Genomic DNA, 16,990 nt, shown 5'->3' with positions numbered 1-16,990 from the left:
GCACACACTGCAATCCAATCTGCCTTGAGGAAGTAGAAAGAGCGCTAGACTGGAGCCCAGCTGACCTCGGACCAACCACCTCTGTCTGGACCACCCTGGACAGTCACTTCACCTGTCTGGGCCTCAGTTTCCTCAAGTATAAACTGCAGAGAGGGCCAGGTGTGGTGGCTCACGCCTGTAATCCCAACACTTTGGGAGACCAAGGTGGGCTGATCACCTGAGGTCAAGAGTTCAAGACCAGCCTGGCCAACATGGTGAAACCCCATCTCCACCAAAAATACAAAAATTAGCTGGGCATGGTGGCACATGTCTGTGATCCCACCTACCTGGGAGGCTGAGGTACAGGAGTCGCTTGAACCGGCCGGGCGCGATGGCTCACGCCTGTAATCCAAACATTTTGGGAGGCTGAGGCCAGCGGATCAAGAGGTCAGAAGTTCAAGACCAGCCTGGCCAGCATGGTGAAACCCCATCTCAACTAAAAATACAAAAATTAGCTAGGCATGGTGGCACGTGCCTGTAATCCCAGCTACTTGGGAGGCCGAGGCAGGAGAAACACTTGAACCTGGGAGGTGGAGGTTGCAGTGAGCTGAGATTGTGCCACTGCATTCCAGCCTGGGCGACAGAGCGAGACTCCATCTCAAAAAAAAAAAAAAGAATTGCTTTTACCTGGGAGGCAGAGGTTGCAGTAAGCCGAGATCGCATACTGCGTTCCAGCCTGGGCGACAGAGCAAGACTCTGTCTCAAAAATAAATAAATAACTAAATAAATAATACATTAAGTAAAATAAAAAAAATAAACTGCAGAGAGGAAGACCACCCTGGCAGGGGCTAAGCAGACCACAGGGGACATGGATGAAAGCACAAACTTATCCACAAAGTGAGCCACACCTTCTACCCCCATTCCTCCCCTGTCCCCCTCAAGACCCCTCATTCCCATGGTCATGAGGCCTCCTGGCTCTGGAACCAGACACCTGGGTGGGTGGGGTAAATCCTGGTTCCAAGGCCCACAAGTTGTATGATCTTGGGCAAGTGAATGAACTCTGGAGCCTCAGTTTGCCCAGCTGGAAAACGGGGATAATAGAAGGAAACACTTACCAGGGTAGCAATCATGCCTAACTGATGCCTGGCCCATAGTGAGCACTGGGCAGAATAGCCATTGTCGGTTATTATTATGAAAACTATTATTATTTGAGCCTTTCTGTGCTGAATGGGACTCAGCTGTCACCCTTTCCTTCCCGAAGCAGGAACCGCAGCCCCAAGAGGGGAAGTGATTTGTTCAAGTCACCAGCGATTAAGTGGACAAGGAGCCGGAACCCAGACTCCCTCTCCAGCCCAGGCCTCCCATTCAGGTCGTTCCCAGGGAGGCAGCCCGACACCAGCCCTCCCGCCCGGATCCGCGCTCCCGCCCCCGGCCTTCGCTCCCTCACCCTCCGGCTTGGCGTCGCCCTTCGCTTCGGCCAGCAGCAGCCAGCCCAGCAGGGCCAGTAGCAGCAGGGGCCGCATGGCCGAGGTATGGGGGACGATCGGCCGACCCGGCGGCGCTCGCAGGGCTGGAAACTTCGCGACGGGGCCGCAGGTCCCGCTGCCACGCACTGGGCCCGCCCCGGGGGCGGCACCACCCCGCCCCTCCACGCCCTCCCCCGCGCCTGCCTAGTGGGGAAGGGTTTTTCTGCAGATATGCCCAAGTCCGGGCCTCTCCTTATTAGGGCAGCTCCCTCCGCCTCTCTGTGCAGCTCCCGGGGCTTCCGTCAGGCCCTGCCGTCTCCCTCCCTTCTCTGGGGGGTTCACTCCGACCAGAAAGAGGGCGGTGAGAGGAGAGAGAGGCCACGATTTCTAGACCCCAGGTTCTGGGCCAAGGCTCCATGGCATCGATAGCCACGAGCCCCTGTTTGCTCGCCTGAAAAGTGGGGCTTATGATAGCGTCTGTTCATTGGGTCTTGCACGGGTTAATGGCGTTACCTGTAGCGCACTTAGAGCAGCCCCAGGTCAAGCCCCAAGGAAGTCAGTTTTCATGATTTCATTAGTCCTTCCCAAAACCCAAGGGGTGAGGGTGGGCACGGATGCGTTCAGAGACACGGACACCCCTACGTGGCCCACCCAGGCACTGGAAATGCAGGAAGCCCGTCTCCACTCTCCCCAAAAGGCAATCACTTGATCTCCCTTTGTGTCCCTGGGAGGCAAACCTCTGAGCCAAGGAAAGTCTTGCTTCTGAGGTTTTTTTGTTTTTTGTTTTTTTTTTTTCATTTTTTTGAGACAAGGTTGCTTTCAGTTGCCCAGGCTGGAGTGCAGTGGCGTGATCACCGCTTGCTGCAGCCTCGACCTCCCGGGCTCAAGCGATCCTCCCATCTCAGCCTCCCAAGTAGGTGGGATCACAGGCCTGAGCCACCATCCCTGGCTAATTTTTCTACCTTTTTTTTGAGACAGAGTTTCACTCTTGTTGCCCAGGCTGGAGTGCAACGGCGAGATCTGGGGTCACGGCAACCTCCGCCTCCCGGGTTCAAGCAATTCTCCTGCCTCAGCCTCCCGAGTAGCTGGGATTACAGGCATGTGCCACCATGCCCAGCTAATTTTGTATTTTTAGTAGAGGTGGGGTTTCTCCATGTTGGTCAGGCTGGTCTTGAACTCCCACCCTCAGATGATCCACCCGCCTTGGCCTCCCAAAGTGCTGGGATTACAGGCTGAGCCACCACACCCTAGAGAGATTAATTGTTAAATGAGTAAACGAATCGATGAAAGTTTTTAGGGCCTCTTCACAGATACCCAAAGCCCAACAAACAACTCAACGGTCTCTAGAGTAAGGGCTCCTGGACCAGATGTCAGACAGGGGCAGCCACCTCTGAACAAAAATCCTTCCTTCCTTGGAAGAAACCTCAGACAGAGGCCGGGCACGGTGGCTCACACCTGTAATCCCAGCACTTTGGGAGGCTGAGGCGAGCGGATCACAAGGTCAGGAGTTCAAGACCAGCTTGACCAACATGGTGAAACTCTGTCTCTACTAAAATACAAAAATTAGCCAGGCGTGGTGGCGCGCGCCTGTAATCCCAGCTACTCAGGAGGCTGAGGCAGTAGAATCACTTGAACCCAGGAGACTGAGTTTGCAGTGAGCCAAGATTGAACCACTGCACTCCAGCCTAGGCGACAGAGCGAAACTCTGTCTCAAAAAAAAAAAAAAAGAAAAAAAAGACCTTAGACAGGGACCCAGGAGCCTTCTCCCAGCTGATTAGGCTCCAGAGGAGTGGGTGGCAGGTGTAACCCTAGGCTGGCAGGGGGTTCCCTGCAGGGGGCAAAGGGGTGGGAGAGAAGGAATGTCACGAATGTCAATGGACGACAAAGAGCAGGCTATGCGTCTGTGCTGGGAAAAGATATTAATAAATCAACAGCATTCAGATGAGCTGGGTGCGGTGGTTCATGCCTGTAATCCCAGTACTTTGGGAGGCCAAGACAGCCAGATTGCTTGAGCCCAGGAATTCAAGACCAGCCTGGGCAACATGGTGAAACCCCTTCTTTACTAAAAAAACAAAAATTAGCTGGGCATGGTGGCATGTGCCTGTAGTCCCAGCTATTCAGGAGGCTGACTGGGGAGGATCACTTGAGCCCGGGAGGTGGAGGTTGCAGTGAGCCATGATCACACCGCTGCACTCCAGCCTGGGCAAGAGAGTCAGAACCTGCCTCAAAAAAAACAAACAAACCAAAAAATAAAAATAAAAACAAAATAGCATTCAGATGCTGCAGCCAGAGAAATACACTACCCATATGATGTTAAGTGGAAAAGCAGAATATATAGTATGGTTCCACTCAGTAAAAATACCTTCTTTTTTTTTTTTTTTGAGATGGAGTCTCACTGTATAGCCCAGGTTGGAGTGCAGTGGCACAATCTCAGCTCACTGCAACCTCCGCCTCCCTGGTTCAAGCAATTCTTTGCCTCAGCCTTCCGAGTAGCTGGGATTACAGGTGCCTGCCACCATGCCTGGCTCATTTTTGTATTTTTAGTAGAGATGAGGTTTCACCATCTTGGCCAGGCTGGTCTTGAACTCCTGACCTCGTGATCCACCAGCCTCGGCCTCCCAAAGTGTTGGGATTATAGGCGTGAGCCATCGCGCCCAGCCAAAAATATATTCTTATCGATGTATACATGCATAGAGACAATGCTAGGAGAAAATTATGGCCAAATATTTACTGTGATTATTTCCAGGTTGTGGGATTATTTCATATTTATATAGACAATTTTTGATGTTTTATATTATTTCCAAGTATTTATTTTGTTATTTATATTTTTCTTTTTTTTTCAATAAATATATACTATTTGTAAAATTCAAACAAAATCGGCGGGGCATGGTGGCTTATGCCTGTAATACCAGCCCTTTGGGAGGTGGAGGCAGGCAGATCACCAGACGTCGGGATTTCAAGACCAGCCTGACCAACATGGAGAAACCCTGTCTCTACCAAAAATACAAAATTATCTGGGCATGGTGGCGCATTCCTGTAATCCCAGCTACTTGGGAGGCTGAGGCAGGAGAATTTCTTGAGCCTGGAAGGCGGAGATTGCAGTGAGCCGAGATCGCACCATTGCACTCTAGCCTGGGCAACAAGAGCAAAACTCCGTCTTGAAAAAATATATATATATATTCAAACAAAATCAATACATGCTATTTTTAGAATATAGGTCCAGGCCGGCACAGAGACTCATGCCTGTAATCCCAGCACTTCGGGAGGCCAAGGCAGGAGGACTGCTTGGGCCCAGGAGTTCCAGACCAGCCTGGACACTATAGCAAAACCCTTCCCCCATCTCTATTAAAAAAACAAAGATAGAGTCAGTCACTGGGAACCTTGGAAATCATCTCATTGTGTGGAAATCATCTCATTGTATGGAGATGTGCTCATTGCACAGATAGCACAAGTGATATCCATAGGCATGGGGCAGCAAGCTCAAGGTCCCAAGGCAAGTAAAAGGAAGAGGCCTGAGCAGAATCCAGGGCCCCTACCTCCCAGCTGGGATCCAGGGCTGGGAGTTTCAGCATCTGGAGACAGGACTTGGTGCCAGAATCCACCGGATGTTTTGGATTCAGGAGGATGCAGACTCAGACTCCAGACCCCTGGAGGAAGAGGAAATGCCAGGAGGAGCAGAGGGAGGAGAATGAGCATTTGTTGGCTGGTTCCATGTTCTCTTTTTTTTTGAGACAGGGTCTCACTTTGCTGCCCAGGCTGGAGTGCAGTGGTGTGATTACAGCCCACTGCAGCCTCAACTTCCTGGGCTCAGGTGATTCTCCCACCTCAGCCTCCTGAGTAGCTGGGACTACAGGCATGCACCTTGCCTGGCTAATTTTTTTTTTTTTTTTTTTTTTTGTAGAGACAGGGTTTCACAATGTCGGCCAGGCTGGTCTAAAACTCCTGAGCTCAAGACATCTGCCTTCCTCAGCCTCCCAAAGTGCTGGGATTACACGTGTGAGCCAATGCTCCCGGCCCCTGGTTCAGTTTTCAAAACTCTCCCTCATTCCCTGCTCGCAACAGCCTTGCTAATTAAACAGTATTGCCCCATTTGCAAAATGAGAAAACAGACCCAGAGAAGTGAAGCAATCTGCTCGACGCCACACAACTGATGCAGAACTACAGTAAGGGAGGCAGCATTGGAACCCAGCTCTAACCCTCCATTTGCTGTAGTCCAAGGAGAACCTCAATGGTGATGTACTATGAATAGAAAAAAAAAACAAAACCTTGAGGCCAGGTGCCATGACTCACGCCTGTAATCCCAACACTTTGGGAGGCTGAGGTGGGAGGATCCTTTGAGACCAGGAGTTCAAGACCAGCCTGGGCAACATAGACCCGTCCCTCCGCCCCCACCCACCTCCCGTCTCCACAAAAAAAATTAGGAGGGCATGGTGGTGTGCGCCTGTAATCTCAGCTTCTCAGGAGGCTGAAGTGGGAGGATCACTTGAGCCCAAGAGGTTGAGGCTGCAGTGAGCCGTAATTGTACCACTGTACTTCTGCCTGAGTTACAGAGTAAGACTCTGTCTCAAAAAAAAGGAAAAGAAAAAACCCCTTGGGCAGTGGGAGTCCCATGCCCAAAAGTCATTTTAAGTCAGGAGGGGGAATCAATCTTGGAGGCTGCTGGCCTCTCTGGGAGAAAGGATTCACTCTGGCAAAGCCTGCCCTCTCCTCCTTTGGTATCTGTTTCCTGTTCCCTTCACCAAATTGCTGAAACTTGAACCCTGCCCAAGCTTCATGGAGAAAGGGGGCCTGTCTCTTTAACCAGTGGTGGCTGCCGTCCAGATGTTACTTCTGGTACGTGCTGCACGTGCTGTGGACAGTTAAAGGCGCAGGACTCAGATTTCTAGGGAAGGTGTAGAAAGGATAGCTGGCCTGGAGGGCAGCTGCCCGGTGACATGAGGGGCTTTTCTCATTTTCATCCTTTTCTTTTATTCATTTCCTTTTTTGGCCCCAGGAAGAGCAAGGGCTTCGGTAGGATGGCCATATTCTGTGCTGCTAGATGGATGATCACCTCTCACTAGCACTTAAGCCTCCCTAATAATAATAATAGTAAAAATAAATCATAATAAAATGTCCTCTTTCTTTTTTTTTTTTTTTTGAGACAGAGTCTCACTCTGTCTCCCAGACTGGAGTGCAGTACCTTAAGGCTGGGCACGGTGGCTCACGCCTGTAATCCCAGCACTTTGGAAGGCTGAGGCAGGTGGATCATCTGAGGTCAGGAGTTCCAGACCAGCCTGACCAACATGGAGAACCCTGTCTCTACTAAAAATACAAAAAATTAGCCAGGCATGGTGGCACACGCCTGTAATCCCAGCTACTCGGGAGGCTGAGGCAGGAGAATTGCTTGAACCTGGGAGGTGGAGGTTGTGGTGAGCCAAGATCGTGCCATTTCACTCCAGCCTGGGCAACAAGAGCGAAACTCCATCTCAAAAAAAAAAAAGCCTAAACCTCAGCATCACACAATATCCCCTTGTAATAAACCTGCACATGTACTCCCTGAACCTAAAATAAAAATTGAAAAAAAAAAATAAAGAAGGTTAAGTGTGGTGGCTCACACCTGTAATCCCAGCACTCTGGGAGGCCAAGGTAGGAGGACTGCTTGAGTTCAGGAGCTCAAGACCAGCCTGGGCAATGTGGCAAAAACCTGCCTCTCCAAAAAATACCAAAAAAAAAAAAAAAATTAGCTGGGCATAATGGTGACGGCCTATAGTTCTAGCTACTTGGGAGGCTGAGTTGGGAGGATCACTTAAGCCTGGGAGATGGAGGTTGCAGTGAGCTGTGATCGTGCCACTGCACTCCAGCCTGGGCAACAGAGTGAGACCCTCTCTCTAAATAAATAAATAAATAAATAGGACTGGGGGTGGTGGCTCACACCTGTAATCCCAGAACTTTGGGAGGCCACGGTGGGCAGATCACAAGTAAGGAGTTCCAGACCAGCCTGGCCAACATGGTGAAACTCCATCTCTACTAAAAATACAAAAATTAGCCAGGTGTGGTGGCAGGTTCCTGTAATCCCAGCTACTCGGGAGGCTGAGGCAGGAGGACTGCTTGAACCCAGGAGGTGGAGGTTGTGGTGAGCCGAGATCGCGCCACTATACTCCAGCCTGGGCAACAAGAGTGAAACTCCGTCTCAATAAATAAATAAATAAATAAGGCAGGCGCAGTGGCTCACGCCTGTAATCCCAGCACTTTGGGAGGCTGAGGCAGTTGGATCATCTGAGGTCAGGAGTTTGAGACCATGCTGGCCAATGTTGTGAAACCTGGTCTCTACTAAAAACACAAAAATTAGCCAGGTGTGTTGGCTGTAATCCTAGCTTCTTGGGAGGCTGAGGCATGACAACTGCTTGAACCTAGGAGGCAGAGGTTGCAGTGAGCTGAGATTGCACCACTGCCCTTTAGCCTGGGGGACAAAGTGTGACTCTGTCTCAAAAAAATAAAAAATAAAAAAAAATAAAAAAAATAAAAAAAATAAAAATGGTAAGCAGACTGTAGGACCACCTGGACAGTTCCTTCTAAAGGGCACTGGCCTCAGCAAACATTTCTGTGTCTGCTCACAGCCCACCAGAGGCCACCTCAAATGACCGTTTAATTTCCAACAACTGGGAAGCACTGTCTGGCTTTGGAATGTACTGAAACCAAAGTGGAAACAATCACCCATTGTCTGCCTCTGTGCTTATATTGAATTTTTTTCCCAAAATACAAAGCAATATTTATCTTTTGCATCGATGATTCACAATTTAAAGCCATTTTCAAAGTATGAGACGTTAGTGTCTTATGTTATTTAATAAGTTAAAACTTAGGACTGACATCAAGAAGACGATTTGGTGTAGTGGAGACATTGATGGCCCTTGGCTGGATTTGTGTCCACGTGTGGTGTGCATGCAGCTAGACAGGTCTGTTAACAAAATATTTTTGGGGAAGTCTAGTTTCTGGTGGTTAGTTTTTATTTTATTTTTTATTTTTTTAGACGGAGTCTCGCTCTGTTGCCCAGGCTGGAGTGCAGTGGCGCGATCTCGGCTCACTGCAACCTCTGCCTCCCTGGTTCAAGCGATTCTCGTGCCTCAGTCTCTCAAGTAGCTGGGATTACAGGCGCCCACCACCACGCCCAGCTAATTTTTGCATTTTTATTTTTTTATTTTTATTTATTTATTTTTTTTTTTTTGAGACAGAGTCTCCCTCTGTCACCCAGGCTGGAGTGCAGTGGCGCGATCTTGGCTCACTGCAAGCACCGCCTCCCGGGTTCACGCCATTCTCCTGCCTCAGCCTCCCGAGTAGCTGGGACTACAGGCGCCTGCCACCACGCCTGGCTAATTTTTTATATTTTTAGTAGAGACAGGGTTTCACCGTGTTAGCCAGGATGGTCTCGATCTCCTGATCTCGTGATCTGGCGGCCTCGGCCTCCCAAAATGCTGGGATTACAGGCGTGAGCCACCGTGCCCAGCCTAATTTTTGTATTTTTAGTAGAGACAGGTTTTCACCATGTTGGTCAGGCTGGTTTCGAACTCCTGACCTCAAGTGATTTGCCCATCTCAGCCTCCTAAAGTGCTGGAATTACAGACGTGAGCCACCACTCCTGGCCTCTGGTGGTTCCCCTTCCCCTCCTCCTCCCTTTTCCTTTCTTCTTCTTTCTTCCTCTTCTTCTCTCTCCTTTTTTTTTCCTCCACTTTTTCGTATTGTTCCAAGTGTTTTTTTGCAGTGAGGATAGTCTTTTTTTTTTTTTTTTTTTTTGAGACAGAGTCTCACTCTGTCGCCCAGGCTGGAGTGCAGTGGCGTGATCTCGGCTCACTGCAAGCCTGCAACCTCCGCCTCACGGGTTCAAGCAGTTCTCCTACCTCAGCCTCCTGAGGAGCAGGGATTACAGGCATGCGCCACCACGCCCGGCTAGTTTTTGTATTTTTAGTAGAGATGGGGTTTCACCATGTTGGTCAGGCTGGTCTCAAACTGCTGACCTCGTGATCCGCCCGCCTTGGCCTCCCAAAGTGCTGGGATTACAGGCGTGAGCCACCGCGCGCGGCGAGAGGATGGTCATTTTTACAGAAACAAAGTTGTTGTGTGTGTGTGTGTGTATGTTTTTAAATTTTGGGGCTGTTGAATCCATCAGTAGCAAAGGGGCCCAACACGTGTTCGGTTTGGCTGGCTCGATGTTTTTTTCACGAGTGAATTGGATGCTTCCAGTCCTCCCCAGACCCCTGCACTTAACTCCACTGGACTTCACTCTTCCGGCCTGGGAACGAGTGGTCCCGCCCCCGGCAGCTTTTGTCCCGCCCTCGCCGTGGCTCCGCCCCCTTCTCTCCGGCCTGCTCTCTCTCCTCCCTCCGCCCTCCCGTTTTCCATCTGTCGTAAAAGACACGGCGACGCTTGACCGCCGGCGTCGTTTGACGGCTGGAGGCCACCGAGAAGAAGGAGGAAGCAGGGGTGGCGGCTGCTGCGGCGGTTGCGGCGGGGGCCGGGGTGGGCGCCGCGGTCCGGGCCGGGCAGTGAGGCGCGGGCGGCCGGGCCGGTGGGCTGGGCGGCGGGCCCGGCGGCCGCCCTCGCACCCTTGCCCGCGCCTGGCGGCCCGATGTGGCTGCAGCAGCGGCTCAAGGGGCTGCCGGGACTGCTGTCGAGCAGCTGGGCCCGCCGCCTCCTCTGCCTGCTTGGCCTCCTGCTGCTGCTTCTGTGGTTTGGGGGGTCCGGCGCGCGGCGGGCGGCGGGCGGCCTGCACCTGCTGCCCTGGTCCCGCGGTGAGCCGGGCGCCGCCGAGCCGTCTGCCTGCCTGGAGGCGGCCACCCGCGCCTGGCGCGGCCTGCGGGAGCGCGGTGAGGTGGTACCGCTGGGTCCTGGAGTGCCGGCCCTGGTGGCCAACGGCTTCCTGGCCCTGGACGTGGCTGCCAATCGGCTGTGGGTGACTCCCGGGGAGCGGGAGCCCGCCGTGGCGCCGGACTTTGTGCCCTTCGTGCAGCTGCGCCCGCTGAGCGCGCTGGCTGAAGCTGGAGAGGCGGTGCTGCTGCTGCGGGAGGGGCTTCTGCGCCGCGTGCGTTGCCTGCAGCTGGGGTCCCCAGGTCCTGGCCCCGTGGCCGCCGGCCCCGGGCCCGCCTCCGTCTCTGGCCTTGCCGCGGGGTCCGGCCGCGACTGCGTGCTGCTGCAAGAGGACTTTCTGGCGCACAGGGGCCGACCCCACGTCTACCTGCAGCGCATCCAGCTCAACAACCCCACGGAGCGCGTGGCCGCGCTGCAGACTGTGGGGCCCACTGCCGGCCCAGCCCCCAAGGCCTTCACCAGTACCCTGGAGAAGGTCGGAGACCATCAGTTCCTCCTCTACTCAGGCCGGTCCCCGCCTACGCCCACTGGGTTGGTGCACCTGGTGGTGGTGGCCGCCAAGAAGCTGGTGAACCGCCTCCAAGTGGCTCCCAAGACGCAGCTGGATGAGACGGTGCTGTGGGTGGTGCACGTCTCTGGCCCCATTAACCCCCAGGTGCTCAAAAGCAAAGCAGCCAAGGAGCTCAAGGCGCTGCAGGACTTGGCACGGAAGGAAATGCTGGAGCTCTTGGACATGCCAGCGGCGGAGCTGCTTCAAGACCACCAGCTCCTCTGGGCTCAGCTCTTCAGCCCAGGTGAGTCCTGGCCAGCGCTTGGTCCACCCTAGATATGTCCCTCCCAAGTCTGCAGAGGTGACACTGAAGGTGATGGTGGGGTGGTTGAAACTTGGGCTTGGCGTTTCACCAGTGGTTGAATCTGCTCAACTGCTTAGTGTCTGTGCGACCTTTGGATTCGTCGCCTAATCTCTCTGGGCCTGTATTTAATAACAATAACGCCTACCTCAGAAGGTTTTTATGAGACTGTAGTGGACAATTGAGTGTAAAGGTCAATTCTTTCTGTTACTTGTTTTGGTAGATGGGGCCTGATGTGAGCAGAGTGAAGTGTTTTAGAGTCAGTTTGCAGAGGTGAAACCAGCAGGTGGATCCCCTGATTCTTTGCTCAGCACCGCAGTCGGCCTGGTGACAGACGTGGGCTTCTTGACATAACCCCTGCTAGGCTGAGGTGCGTCCTGGCAGTTGTGGCTGCAACTGGTTCACAGGGAGGTTGGAGAATCCCTTTTAGCAGGTTGAGATGCTCCCGCCCGATGAAAACTCTCCTCTCGTTGACTGTTAAAGAAAAGAAAATCCTGTTCTGGATGAGAGAGGGGTTTTGGTTTCCAGGGTTCCAATTGTCTGAACCTTTGTGTTTGGTTGCTCAGAGAGTTGAGTTCATTCAGCAAGTATCTATTGAATGCTTCTGCCAGGGCTGTTCTATGCATGGGGGGGTGCAGATGGGAACCAGAGTTCCTGTTCTCATGGTGCTTGCTTAAATTCTGGTTGGGAGGAAGACAGACATTAGAAAAGTGAAAATTAAAATTAAAATAAGGCATCTTTTTAGGCTAGAATGTGCTGGCTGGGCGCGGTGGCTCACGCTGTAATCCCAGCACTTTGGGAGGCTGAGGCAGGTGGATCACCTGAGGTCAGGAGTTCAAGCCAACCTGGCCAACGTGGCGAAACCTTGTCTCTACTAAAAATACAAAACTTAACCTGACCTCATGATCCGTCCACCTTGGCCTCCCAAAGTGCTGGGATTACAGGCGTGAGCCACCGCGCCCGGCGAGAGGATGGTCATCTTCACAGAAACAAAGTTGTGTGTGTGTATGTTTTTAAATCTTAGGGCTGTTGAATCCATCAGTAGCAAAGGGGCCCAGCACGTGTTTATTCAGCAAGTGTCTATTGAATGCTTCTGCCAGGGCTGTTTTAGGCATGGGTGGTGGCCTGCACCTGTAGTCCCAGCTACTCAAAGGCTGAGACGGGAGAATCACTTGAACCCGGGAGGCGGAGGCTGTAGTAACCTGAGATCGTTCCACTGCACTCAAGCCTGGGCAACACAGTGAGACTCTGTCTCAATAAACAAATAAATACATACATACATAAAGCTACAAGACTGGAGAGAGAAAGGACAGAGAGGAGAAGTGGCCTGAGACTGGCCTCAGCACTGGTGACTGATCTGGCGCAGGATGTCTGACCATAGGGTTGGTGCCAAGTCCTGGCTAAGTCTGTGTTCCTCTGGGCTCTGGCACCAGGCCCCGCTGCTTTTTAACAGGATTCTAGATTTCAGGCCCACAGGCTCAAGTTGGTCGTGTAAACAAGACAGGCTGACTTTCTTCTATACTTTAGGGAGATGGGCACCACTGTCTTTATCATTAAGGCACAACACCTCACTCTTCTGCTGCCCTTGGTCTTTATTTCGTATGCTCTGCCTCCCAGCTGTCCTTCCCCCTTAACATGCCGCTTTCATGGTGTTGCAGGAGTGGAAATGAAGAAGATCACTGACACCCACACGCCGTCTGGCCTCACCGTGAACCTGACGCTCTATTACATGCTCTCCTGCTCGCCAGCCCCACTGCTCAGCCCCTCCCTGAGCCACAGGGAGCGAGACCAGATGGAGTCGACGCTCAACTATGAAGATCACTGCTTCAGCGGGCACGCCACCATGCACGCCGAGAACCTGTGGCCGGGGCGGCTGTCCTCCGTCCAGCAGATCCTGCAGCTCTCTGACCTGTGGAGGCTGACCCTCCAGAAGCGTGGCTGCAAGGGGCTGGTGAAGGTGGGTGCCCCAGGCATCCTGCAGGGGATGGTGCTCAGCTTTGGGGGGCTGCAGTTCACAGAGAACCACCTCCAGTTCCAGGCCGACCCCGACGTGCTGCACAACAGCTATGCATTGCATGGCATCCGCTACAAGAACGACCATATCAACCTGGCCGTGCTGGCGGATGCCGAGGGCAAGCCCTACCTACACGTGTCCGTGGAGTCCCGTGGCCAGCCTGTCAAGATCTATGCCTGCAAGGCAGGCTGCCTGGACGAGCCAGTGGAGCTGACCTCGGCGCCCACGGGCCACACCTTCTCGGTCATGGTGACACAGCCCATCACGCCACTGCTCTACATCTCCACCGACCTCACACACCTGCAGGACCTGCGGCACACGCTGCACCTCAAGGCCATCCTGGCCCATGATGAGCACATGGCCCAGCAGGACCCCGGGCTGCCCTTCCTCTTCTGGTTCAGCGTGGCCTCCCTAATCACCCTCTTCCACCTCTTCCTCTTCAAGCTCATCTACAACGAGTACTGTGGGCCTGGAGCCAAGCCCCTCTTCAGGAGTAAGGTAGGAAGCCGCCATCTGGTCGAAACCCGAGGCCTTGGCCTTGCTCTCAGCCCTGTGTCTCGGAAGGGGCTAGCCTGGCGAGGGGGGGTGAGGCCTGGGCAGGAATGGGTGTCCTGATGCCCTCAGCCCTTGACACCAGAGAGCGCGCACAAGTGTTTTGAGAGGAGACGACGAGGAAGGGAAAGCTGGAAATCCAGGTGTGAATTGATGGTCTTCTGGCTTTCCAGGGCAGCCCTCCCCTCCTCCCGCATCATAAATCTCAGCATTTAAAAATAACTGCAAGCTGGGTGTGGTGGCTTGTGCCTGTAGTCCCAGCTACTTGGGAGGCTGAGATGGGAGAATCCCTTGAGCCCAGGAGTTTGAGGCTGCAGTGAACTATGATTGTGTCATTGCACTCTAGCTGGGGCAACAGAGCAAGACCCTGTCTCAAAAAAGCAAAAAACAAAAAAGCAAATAAAAGTAAAAAAAAAAAAAAAAAAAAAATTAGAGGCAGGGCCTGGTGGCTCATGCCTATAATCTCAACACTTTGGGAGGCCGAGGTGGGAGGATCCTTCGAGCCCAGTAGTTTGAGACCAGCCTGGGCAGGATAACGAGGACTTGTCTCTACAAAAAATTTAAAAATCAGCCAGGCGTGATGGTGCACGCTTGTAGTCCCAGCTACTTAGGAGGCTGAGGTGGGAGGATCACTTGAGCCCAGGAGTTTGAGACTGCAGTGAGCTGTGATTACACCATTGCACTCCATCCCAGGTGACAGAGTGAGACCCTGTCTAAAAATAATAATAATGAGGCTGGGTGCAGTGGCTCATGCCTATAATCCCAGTACTTTGGGAGGCTGAGGCGGGCAGATCACCTGAGGTCAGGAGTTCAAGACCAGCCTGGCCAACACGGTGAAACCCCATCTGTACTAAAAATACAAAAATTAGCTGGGCATGGTGGTGCATGCCTGTAATTCCAGCTACTCGGGAGGCTGAGGCAGGAGAATTGCTTGAACCCGGGAGACGGAGGTTGCAGTGACCCGAGATCATGCCAGTGCACTCCAGCCTGGGTGACAGAGTGAGACTCTGTCTCAAAAAAATAAAAAATAAATAATAAATAATAATAATAATAAAATAAAAATAACTGCAACAAGCCCCTAGATTGACTTGAAGCCTCTGTCTGAACTGCTGGCGGGATCCCCAGCTTCCCCCCATGTGCCTGTTCATGGCATGCAGAGGTCAGCCCCTTGCTCCAGGCCTCGGACCAGAGTGGCCATCTCGTTAGCATAGGACACAGGACAGAAGCATTGCCCTCAAGTTTCCTGAGACATGTTTGCCCCTGGAAGCGGTGATTTTGGCCATCATTGCTGCAAGACTGTCATCGGGGCAGCATCTTAGCATCAGCATTGCTGTCGCGGGGTGAGGCTGCCTACTGTGCCCTGCCGCCCGGCCTTCTGTGCTTCCTCAGGAGAAAGACCAGCAGGGATTCCAGGGGGAGGCCTTTGTTAGCAGTTGTAGAAGAAAATGTTTCCCAAAGAGCTGAGCTGTTTCCCTTTCTCTTCTCTCCTCCTGTATCCCGTCTCCTCCCCTCTACTCTTCCTCCCCTCCCCTCCCTTCTCTTCTTTTCTCCTTTATCTTCTCTTTTTAAACTGTAGTGACAGTAGAGAGGTATATTAGGCTCTGCGTCTGTGCCCCCAAGTAGTCAGAGAGCCCAGATCCCACCCTGGAGAAATGGGAAGTGTCCCATCACATCCACAGGGATGCCTGCGGCTTCTAGTTTCTGGCCCAAGACCAGGACTTGGAAAAGGAAGCAGAACTTGACCTGAAAGAGCAGAAGAGTGGGAGACAGGGCTGAGTTCCTCAAGTTCGAAGAAAAATCAAAAGTCAGATCAAAAAGGACTGCACAGAGGCCTTCCTTGTGAGCCGCCTCTGAACTAGCTGCACTAGGACAGGTGCCAAATGTGCATCGTGTGGGTTTTGCCGTCTGTTTGGCAGGCGGCTGCTTTTCCCTGCTGCTTGGTGGCTTCTCTGCCCTCGCTCTTGAGTGCACCTTCGGTTCCTCCCACAGTTGGGCAAATGAGCCAAACTACCTTCATGGGGTACTGACCGATCTCTCCTTGACTTAGGCTCAAGCTGGGCCATGCCAGAGTGGAGCCAGTGAACACTCAGCTCCAGAAGGGCCCAGGCCACTGAGTCCGTGGTAATTCTGCAAGGCTGGGTCAGAGCCAGGGTGTGGTGCCACTAGGGTTGTCTCCGTAGCCTATTTCTATAGCTGGCCACTGGGGTTGGCAGTGAACAGTAATCACACTTGTTTTGTGAATTGAACAGGAAGATCCCAGTGTCTGAGTGAACTAACAGTCCTGCTTTCAGCCACCATTTGCACAAGACACCCAGCACTGAAAGTCCCGCTGCCAGGAGCAAGGGATCCTTTGGAAGCACCCGCCCTTTGTGCCTTGTTGGGGGAAACCGGTGACGCAGAAGTGAGTGTGGATACACCAGAGTTTGCATTGGAAGGAATGAGTGTCACGTGGGGAGGGAAGGGGCCAGTGGACCTTTTGTAAGCTTTCCACTCAATAAAATGAACCTGTATGGCAAATACTTGAAATGGAACTCACTCCTTCCACTTTCCCCCTTTCTTCTGTCCCAGGAAATAGATCATCTTTTGAAAAGACTCTTGTCTAGGAAAAGTTGTGTCCTTTTCCTAATTTAACGTGTTCTTTCTTAATGAAGTTTTAATTTATTTTTGTTGAGATTTTGCTAGATGGCTTTTGCATCCCCTGTAGATGGTGAGTGTTGGCGGTGATGTCCATCTCGGCGTTCGGAGGCCCCACGGTCCCGAGGCTGGGCCGGGGCCCCCCAGGGTGGCTGTGCTGCTGCCTGTAGGAGGGTGCGGGTTGTGCTGTCATCCTCGGGTTTGCACGCCCTTTTTTAGGAGCCTGTGGACATCTGTGGTTTTGTACTTTGGGGCTTCAGGGGAGGTGTTTAACTTTCTAGTGATTGATGATTGTCAGGTTTTGAAATACCAAAGCTTTTTTGTTCTGTTTTTAAATAAATATCTTTCAAACTTTCACGACCGGTTTGTGTGTGGTTGAAACCTGGAGACATGCACCACGTCTGCCCTCAGCACTAGATCTGTCAGAAGCAGGACACCCACCCGGCCCTGCTGTCACAATGCTATTCCTTTCTGGTATGTTCTACCTCTCTTCAAAGGAGTCTGCCCAGAAGATGTGTTGTTTGCCACCTTTCTGCTCGCCAGGGGGTTGCTGAGTGGCCCTGCTGAGTGGGTTGCTTCTGGCATTACCCTAGCTCCTTCCCTGCTAAGATGCCCTCTCCCCCACCTGCCCTAAAGAGCCAGGGTTCTCCTGCCCT

General features: G+C 52.6%; 2 protein-coding genes across 3 annotated transcripts in view, besides 8 other annotated features; one reads left to right on the top strand and one right to left on the bottom strand.

The window, feature by feature from the left end:
• Window positions 1-1,565, bottom strand: part of PLOD1 (procollagen-lysine,2-oxoglutarate 5-dioxygenase 1) — a 40,821-nt gene extending 39,256 nt beyond the window's left edge. For both annotated transcript variants that reach the window (NM_001316320.2, NM_000302.4), the window contains exon 1: window positions 1,427-1,565. In NM_001316320.2, coding sequence (NP_001303249.1) covers window positions 1,427-1,502 — 76 coding nt within the window. In that variant the 5' untranslated portion in view covers window positions 1,503-1,565. The remainder of the gene's footprint in view (window positions 1-1,426) is intronic.
• Window positions 933-1,856: an enhancer, noted in NCBI's record as "H3K27ac-H3K4me1 hESC enhancer chr1:11994483-11995406 (GRCh37/hg19 assembly coordinates)". NCBI's record gives its function as "activates a minimal SCP1, AML or CMV promoter by ChIP-STARR-seq in primed H9 embryonic stem cells {active_cell/tissue: H9 hESC(primed)}" and the evidence as "EXISTENCE:reporter gene assay evidence [ECO:0000049][PMID:30033119]".
• Window positions 1,287-1,756: a silencer, noted in NCBI's record as "silent region_278". NCBI's record gives its function as "represses an Ori minimal core promoter by ATAC-STARR-seq in GM12878 lymphoblastoid cells {active_cell/tissue: GM12878}" and the evidence as "EXISTENCE:reporter gene assay evidence [ECO:0000049][PMID:35858748]".
• Window positions 1,857-2,782: an enhancer, noted in NCBI's record as "H3K27ac-H3K4me1 hESC enhancer chr1:11993557-11994482 (GRCh37/hg19 assembly coordinates)". NCBI's record gives its function as "activates a minimal SCP1, AML or CMV promoter by ChIP-STARR-seq in primed H9 embryonic stem cells {active_cell/tissue: H9 hESC(primed)}" and the evidence as "EXISTENCE:reporter gene assay evidence [ECO:0000049][PMID:30033119]".
• Window positions 1,977-2,026: an enhancer, noted in NCBI's record as "active region_182". NCBI's record gives its function as "activates an Ori minimal core promoter by ATAC-STARR-seq in GM12878 lymphoblastoid cells {active_cell/tissue: GM12878}" and the evidence as "EXISTENCE:reporter gene assay evidence [ECO:0000049][PMID:35858748]".
• Window positions 9,585-10,248: an enhancer, noted in NCBI's record as "H3K27ac-H3K4me1 hESC enhancer chr1:11986091-11986754 (GRCh37/hg19 assembly coordinates)". NCBI's record gives its function as "activates a minimal SCP1, AML or CMV promoter by ChIP-STARR-seq in primed H9 embryonic stem cells {active_cell/tissue: H9 hESC(primed)}" and the evidence as "EXISTENCE:reporter gene assay evidence [ECO:0000049][PMID:30033119]".
• Window positions 9,636-9,930: an enhancer, noted in NCBI's record as "tiled region #3946; HepG2 Activating DNase unmatched - State 1:Tss, and K562 Activating DNase matched - State 1:Tss". NCBI's record gives its function as "activates a minimal TATA promoter and a strong SV40 promoter by Sharpr-MPRA in HepG2 and K562 cells {active_cell/tissue: HepG2 | K562}" and the evidence as "EXISTENCE:reporter gene assay evidence [ECO:0000049][PMID:27701403]".
• On the top strand, window positions 9,855-16,691 carry KIAA2013. Its single transcript, NM_138346.3, has 3 exons — window positions 9,855-11,077; window positions 12,793-13,646; window positions 15,950-16,691. The coding sequence occupies exons 1-3, from the start codon at window positions 10,045-10,047 to the stop codon at window positions 15,965-15,967; spliced, it is 1,905 nt and encodes a 634-aa protein (NP_612355.1). The 5' UTR covers window positions 9,855-10,044; the 3' UTR covers window positions 15,968-16,691.
• Window positions 9,931-10,000: a silencer, noted in NCBI's record as "silent region_277". NCBI's record gives its function as "represses an Ori minimal core promoter by ATAC-STARR-seq in GM12878 lymphoblastoid cells {active_cell/tissue: GM12878}" and the evidence as "EXISTENCE:reporter gene assay evidence [ECO:0000049][PMID:35858748]".
• Window positions 10,249-10,911: an enhancer, noted in NCBI's record as "H3K27ac-H3K4me1 hESC enhancer chr1:11985428-11986090 (GRCh37/hg19 assembly coordinates)". NCBI's record gives its function as "activates a minimal SCP1, AML or CMV promoter by ChIP-STARR-seq in naive H9 embryonic stem cells {active_cell/tissue: H9 hESC(naive)}" and the evidence as "EXISTENCE:reporter gene assay evidence [ECO:0000049][PMID:30033119]".
• Window positions 16,692-16,990: the final 299 nt, after the last annotated feature.

Source organism: Homo sapiens, chromosome 1 (assembly GCF_000001405.40).
Source record: "Homo sapiens chromosome 1, GRCh38.p14 Primary Assembly".
Taxonomy (NCBI): domain Eukaryota; kingdom Metazoa; phylum Chordata; class Mammalia; order Primates; family Hominidae; genus Homo; species Homo sapiens.
Note: the sequence above shows the minus strand (reverse complement) of the source record. Positions and strands in the feature narration are given on the sequence as shown.